Consider the following 7972-nt stretch of genomic DNA (forward strand, 5'->3'; position numbering starts at 1 on the left):
GAGATTTGGGTGGGGACACAGAGCCAAACCATATCATTCCACTCCTGGCCCCTCTCAAATCTCATGTCCTCACATTTCAAAATCAATCATGTCCTTCCAATCGTCCCCCAAAGTCTTAACTCATTCCAGCATTACATCAAAAGTCCAAGTCCAAAGTCTCATCTGAGACAAGGCAAGTCCCTTCCACCTATGAGTCTGTAAATGCAAAGGCAAGTTAGTTATTTCCTAGATACAGTGGGACTACAGGCATTGGGGAAATACATCCATTCCAAATGGGAGAAATTGGTCAAAATGAAGGGGCTGCAGGTCCCATGTGAGACTGAAATCCAGTGGGACAGCCAAATCTTAATATTCTAAAATGATCTCCTTTGACTTCATGTCTGACATCCAGGTTATGCCGATGCAAGAGGTGGACTCTCATGGCCTTGGGAAGCTCCACCCCTGTGGTTTTGTAGGGTATAGCCCCCCTCCCAGCTGCTTTCACTGGCTGGTATTGAGTGGCTGTAGCTTTTCCAGGTGCACAGTACAAGCTGTCAGCGGATCTACCATTTTGGTGTCTGGAGGATGGTAGCCCCCTTCTCACAGCTCCACTAGGCAGTGCCCCAGTAGGGATATTTTGTGGGGGCTCCAACCCCATATTTCCCTTCTGCATTGCCCTAGAAGAGGTTCTACTTGCGGGTTCCCCCCCTGAAGCAAACTTCTGCCTGGACATCCAGGCATTTCCATACATCTTCTGACATCCCAAACCTCAGTACTTGACTTCTGTGCATTTGCAGACTCAACACCATGTGTAAGCCTCCAAGGCTTTGGGCTTGCACCCTCTGAAGCCATGGCCTGAGCTACACATTATCCCCTTTTGGCCATGGTTGGGATGCAGAGCACCAAATCCTGAGATTGCACACAGCAGGGTGGGCCTGGACCTGGCCCAGGAAACATTTTTTCCTACTAGGCCTCTAAGCCTGTGATAGGGAGCCTACCATGAAGACTTCTGACATGCCCTGGAGACATTTTCCCCATTGTCTAGGTGATTAACATTTGGCTCCTCATTGCTTATGCAAATTTCAGCCTGTTTGAATTTCTCCTCAGAAAATGGGTTTTTCTTTTCTATTGCATTGTCAGGCTGCAAATTTTCCAAAGTTTTATGCTCTGCTTCCCTTTTAAACATAAGTTCCAATTACAAACAATATCTTTGCGAATACATAAAACTGAATGTTTTTAAGAGCACTCAAGTCACCTCTTGAATGCTTCTATACTTAGAAATTTCTTCTGCCAGATGCCCTAAATCATCTCCCTCAAGTTCCAAGTTCCACAGACATCTAGTGCAGGGGTAAAATGCTGCCAGTCTCTTTGCTAAAGCATAGCAAGAGTTACCTTTATTCCAGTTCCTAACAAGTTCCTCATCTCCATCTGAGGCCATCTCAGGCTGGATTTCATTGTCTATATCACTCTCAGCATTTTGGTCAAAGCCATTCAACAAGTGTCTAGGAAGTTCCAAACTTTCCCACATTTTCCTGTCTTCTTCTGAGCCTTTCAAACTGTTCCAGCCTCTGCCTGTTACCCAGTTCCAAAGTCACTTGCACATTTTCAGGTATCTTTACAGCAGCGCCCCACGACCTGGTACCAATTTACTGTATTGGTCCATTCTCATGCTGCCAATAAAGATATCCAAAACTGGGTAATTTATAAAGAAAAGAAGTTTAATTGACTCACAGTTCTGCAGAGCTGGAGAGTCCTCAGGAAACTTACAATTATGGTGGAAGGGCAAACAAACACATTCTTCTTCTCATGGTGGCAGGAAGGGGAAGTGCCGAGCAGAGAGAAAAGCCCCTTCTAAAACCATCAGATCTCATAGGAACTCACTCACTATCACAAAAATAGCAGGAGGGTAACTGTCCCCATGATTCAATTACCTCTTACTGGGTCCCTCCACGACACATGGGGATTATGGGAACTGCAATTCAAGATGAGATTTGGATAGGGAGACACAGCCAAACCATATCAAAGTCTCTAGTAAGTTCCAAACTTTCTCACATTTTATGTCTTCTTCTGAGCTCTCCAAACTGTTCCAACCTCTGCCTGTTAGCCAGTTCCAAAGTCACTTCCACATTTTCAGGATCTTTACAGCAGTGTCCCACTAGCTGGTACCTATTTACTGTATTAGTCTGTTCTCATTCTGCTATGAAGAAATAGCCAAGACTGAGTAATTTATAAAGGAAAGATATTTAATTGATTCACAGTTCAGCATGGCTGTGGAGGCCTCAGGAAACTTACAATCCTGGCTAAAGGCACCTCTTCACAGGGTGACAGGAGAGAGAATGAGTGTCAAGTGAAGGGAGAAGCCCCTTATAAAACCATCAGATCTTGTGAGAACTCACTCACTATAATGAGAACATCATGGGGGGAACCACTACCACCATTCAATTATCTCCACTAGGTCCCACCCCTGACTTGTGGGGATTATTACAATTCGACGTGAGATTTGGGTGTGGACACAGATCCAAACGGTATCACTGGGGATTGTTTATAGGGGTGTATGTGTGTTTGTGTGTGTGTGTGAATGCCTAGGGGAAGACAGTTGGTGTATGTATGCACGTTAGTTTGCTAGGGTTGCAATAACAAATACCAGGAACTGTGTCTGAACAAATATTTATTTTCTCAGAGTTCTGGAGGATAGATGTCTAAGTCAAAGTGCTATCAGGGTTGATTTTAATTCTAAGGACATCTTCCTTGGCTTGTAGATGGCTGTTTTCTTCCTATGTTTTCACATGGTCTTCCTTGTGTGTGTGTCTGTATCCAAATCTCCTCTTATAATAACACCAACCATATCACATTAGGGCCTACCTATATGGCCCCACTTTACATTAGTTAACTTTTTAAGGTAATATACCTTTAATATACCTCATATATTCAAATATAGTCAAATTCTGAGGTGTTAGAGGTTGGGACATCAATGTATCAATTTTAGGGGACAAAATTTAGCCTAAACAGTATGTACTGGATATGTACACGTTATGTAGATAAGTATAAGTGTTTATGTGTGTGTGCTGTTTGTATGCGGAAGGAAATAGGTATATTTGTGTATGTATGTATGATTAGGTACGTGCATGTGTATGCTTGGGTGTGATTTGTACATGTATGCACATACGGCAACTTGGAATGGCAAAAGTTGAGACTGGAGGGACATGTAGAATTTCTGTGATATAACCCAGGAACATATAGTTTTAAAGAGTTCTCAAATTGATTCTTATACACAATGGTTTGGGGCACACTAAGATTTAGAGAACAAGTAGAGGACTAAACCTTTGATATAAGATAGGAGTTGTGGAACCTTGTCCATTACAAGGGAGAGTAGGGGAAAATGCATAAAGGATGCATAGGCTTTTGTATTTGGCGGTAGTAAGAAGGTGCCTCATCTGCTGGCTTCCCTTTTTAAAGTGAATTAGGCAATGATGTTATCAGACATGAGTGAAAAAAGAGGAGGAATATAGGTAGAAAAATTTTTAGAATGGTAGAATGGAGGATAAAATAGTAAGCAGATAGTATTTGAGGGAGTATGAAAGCAAATATAACTGAAAAATATATGAGAGTTGCTGTGAAATAACTGATGTCAATTTATATCATAAATTTATAAATGAAACCAATAGACATTTATGTTTTTTCTCCAGCAAATTTCAGAAGAAGAGGCTATGAGTGTTAGAATTCAAAAAGCTTGGGGTCTTGTAGGGTGAATAAAAAGAAAGGAAAGATAAAGATGGTGGGGAGGATATTTACAAAAAAAGTAATAATAATAATGGGCTGGGGAATTTCTACCAGAAAAGATGACATTGAAGCCAAGCTGATTTGGGGATTAATTTTGCAGTCTCTCTCTTCACAGCTGTGGTACCTTGCTGCCACGATTTTCAGAAATGGTGTTAGCTGACATGATTATCTGGTCATGTGTCTCCAGGTTTTTCCCAGACTTCCAAAGAATCATTGGTCTTTGTAGCACTATAAACTACTCCCAGACTTCACAGTGTTTCCTTTTGGAATATGTTATGTACTGTTTGGCACTGCATTTTTTTTCAATGTAGTACACACACACACACACACACACACACACACATTAAGCTAATATTCATAACTGTAGATGGCAATGTGACTAAAAGAAAATGCATACATATAAAGGGAAGTTGAATATAAGCTAGCAAAAAAAAAAATAATCACATGGACTTAACATTAGGTTTATTACTATGATCTTGGCACTGTAAAAAAGCCCTATAAATTTTGAAGTAATATTTTTATCCTTATGTTTTTCAGATAAGGCCATGAATAATTAGAGTTGAATCAATTTGTCCAAGATTACATCCGTAGCAAATGGTAGCTGAAATTTAGATCTTATCTATCTACTTTAAAAATCTAGATTTTAAAAAATAATTATTCTACTATTTCCTGGTACCATTCACACATACCCTAAAACAATATAAATATAACTTCCATATTTATATAGTGCTGCTTCACAATTTCTCATATTATGCTCTGTACACATAAATTTAACGTGTTTCACTCCCAGAAGTAAATCATTCCTTTAAGAAATGTTCATAAAAAGTTAATATTTTCCTAGCTTGCTTCCTCCGAGTACAAGAATCAGATAAACTTTTCCTTGTTCATATATTGGCTTAGAATAATTTGTTTTGGGGGATTTTGATTGAGAAATTTATTATTAAAAAGGAGATTACTCCACCATGACTGATAATATCCTATGGAATGGAAATTACATATAATTTATGATATAGGTAATTATTTTATTGTTTGCATACGATACTCACTAGGAGTCGTGAATAATGTTTTAATTCTTTCTATGCAAACAACTTGTTGAGGATCCTCATCTTGATCTGTGTACTTATCCAATCTAGAATTCTCCAATTTCTTATTTTCTATGTGTCCTATACTTAATTTTCTTTGTAGTCATTTTATTATATTATAATTCACAGTACATTCTCAGAAAAAATTCTGCTTACTTTTCCTTAGGGAAAGCAAATCCAAGACACTTTCTGTTTATAATGTACACAAATCCAGTCTTAAATAATGATATTTGAAGATTTGGCAGTTTGCTTCCTTTTTATACAGCAATCAAATTACTGACCTTTTGCCAGTAATTTGTTAGCTACAGAATTATTTTCTCCTACTTATTTTTAAAAGTTGGCTCTATGTTTGTTATTTTGAAAAAATAAAAATAATTGCCGCTCTGGCTGAATAAAAATAATAAAAATGGCACAGTGCTCTACCTTTCATTCTCCTCTTCCTCACCCCACTTTCCCCTGCTCCTCCTTCACCTCTTTCTTCTTTACCATGTTATATGCACTCTCTGATGGCTTAAAAATTATTTGGTGTAGTGCTTCAATCAGGATCCCATCTGAGAAGTAGAATCACAGCAACATTAGGGATATATGCAACATATAGCAAATAATGGCCTTATATAACTGTAGGGTTGACTAAGCAATTCTGGTCTTCAGCTTAGGCAGTCAGGGAGGGAAGTTGAGCAGGCTAGACCCCCACATGTTCTGAAAGTTGACCATGGGCAACAGTCAGAAGAGAAGATTCAGGGCTGGGGCCCAGGGGTTGGGGCAATTACAATGCCAGGGGCTATTCAGAGTCTTTCCCTCAGGCAAGGCCTAAGACCTTTTGAATTGAACTTCCAACTGCTTATGTCAGTTCCCTCCTCCCCCTGCCTCCAGCATAGTCCTCCTTTTGACTAACTTGAAATCACTAATTAGGGACTATACGAACATCTGTAAAATTGCTTCACAACAGCACCTAGATTTGTGTTTGATGAATAATTGGGAGAAGGAGTGTGTGTGCTACAAAATGGCCACTACTCTTTCTTGTCCTTCATCTCTCCTTAAAGAATGTCTCTTATAGGACAGGCGCGGTGGCTCATGCCTGTAATCCCAGCACTTTGGGAGGCCGAGGCAGGCGGATCAACAAGGTCAGGAGATCGAGACCATCTTGGCTAACACGGTGAAACCCCATGTCTACTAAAAGTACAAAAAATTAGCCGGGCTTGGTGGCCGGCGCCTGTAGTCCCAGCTACTCGGGAAGCTGAGTCAGGAGAATTGGCGAGAACCCAGGAGGCGGAGCTTGCAGTGAGCCGAGATGGTGCCACTGCACTCCAGCCTGGGCCACAGAGTGAGACTCCATCTTAAAAAAAAGAGAAGGTTTTCTTATAGCCTATCCTAACAGGAATCATACTAGAAAGAACATTCTGGGGACTGTAGTTCAGCCTAGGCGAGATGCCATGTTAAAAAGCTATCACAGCTGGAATATATCAACTTAGCTAAGCTGAGCTAAAAAATAGTCCCCAAATTCAGTTTTTTTTAAAGAAGATATTGATTTGGAATAGTACAATGGTTCAAAGATATATAAGTAGCTTCTATTGATATTTGCTTAGGAAGTAACAAATAAGCATTGGCAGACACTGTGAGTTCAACATAGACTGTCTCTTCTCTTCTGTCTCACAACTGCCTTGCTCCTCCCATCCTACACTGTTTTGCATGTAACTACTGCCAAAAGACCTGGTTTTACTTAGCCAGTGAGAAGTAAGAAAAATTATTTTAGAACGTTCCTAGGAATATCGTTGCGTCGCCTGTTTCATTTAACCCTGGCTTTCCTGTTTATTCTTCTCTTAAACACAAGCATAAAAGCAGAAGTTGGAAGAGCTTGCATGTTTTCATCATGGAAAGTTAATAATCAGAGATTTCAGTTCCAGCATGCTGAGGTATGGAACCTCCTTCTTATCTGAAAATAGTAAACCATATCTAAAATTAGTATAGTCAGGATTCCTATTATTGCTGATGAACACCTATTTATCTGTATCGTATATACAATTTTAGCTATAAATCTTCGCCTCAAAAATATTTAAGAGAATTATCCTCACCAATGTGCACATAAACATATGTGCAAAGTTGCTTATTGAAAAATTAATAGCTTATAATAGCAAATGTGGAAACCAGGCTACATATATTTATATATTAAAAATGGATAAATTATTTTTAAAATATAGAATCATGTAACCATAGGTGAATAAGGGCTAAGTAATGCATACTGTGGTAATAACTTGTGAATAGGTGAGCCAGGATGCAACAACGAAATTCTCCTTAATTGATTATCTAGTTGTTTAATTCCTGTGTTGTCTATCTTTGTCCGAAGGCAAAATACTTGAGCTATTAGAAAAAAAATTGAAATACTCTATTCAAATAATTGTTTTCCTGTGTTAAATTTCAAAGTCATCCATCTTTGTAATTCATGGTCTTAGCATCCACAATAACCTGGTTTTATATTCATAGAAATAGAAATATTTTATAATAAATTATTAAGTATAAAAACAGATGATAAAACTATGATTTATACAAACTTATTTTACCGTAACAACAGATTCATACAAACAATGTACATATGTATTATTTATAAATATATTCACTTTATGCATATATGAGGTATGTATTGTTTATCTCTATATTCTATTTTTTAAAAATAAGTATGTGTAAAGTTAAAATTCTGTTGAATTTTCTTTTGAAATTTAATATGTTAAAGTCATGTTTTATGTTTATACTTGAATAAAACTTTTGCACAAAGGAATGTATTCAAATAATATTTTTAAAAAACTAAGAGGAATGAATAGTTCTTATAGACTGAGTTAATGTTAACAGTTTCTGAGAAAATATTTTAGAAATAAACCTTAAAAAAACTATAGTCTTAAGTTTACAAACTAATGAGAGATAATTACTAAAAGTAATCTTGAATACTTAACATGAAGTTTTTTTTATCTTTTTGGAAGCCTACTTAAAACTCACTTTATGATAATGAGTTATACAATAAGTATGCACTTTATTGTAATTGGTATTTTAGATTTTTCAAAATGTCTGGCATTTGTTTCTAAATGAATGATATCTAACTACTGTTTTACATTCTCTAAAGAACTTGGATTAATAACCCT

At 37.7% G+C, this 7972-nt stretch overlaps 1 annotated feature.

The window, feature by feature from the left end:
- Positions 5962-6162: a silencer, noted in NCBI's record as "peak2085 fragment used in MPRA reporter construct". NCBI's record gives its function as "represses an SCP1 promoter by STARR-seq MPRAs in K562 erythroleukemia cells {active_cell/tissue: K562}" and the evidence as "EXISTENCE:reporter gene assay evidence [ECO:0000049][PMID:32103011]".

This window comes from Homo sapiens, chromosome 13, assembly GCF_000001405.40.
Source record: "Homo sapiens chromosome 13, GRCh38.p14 Primary Assembly".
Classification (NCBI taxonomy): domain Eukaryota; kingdom Metazoa; phylum Chordata; class Mammalia; order Primates; family Hominidae; genus Homo; species Homo sapiens.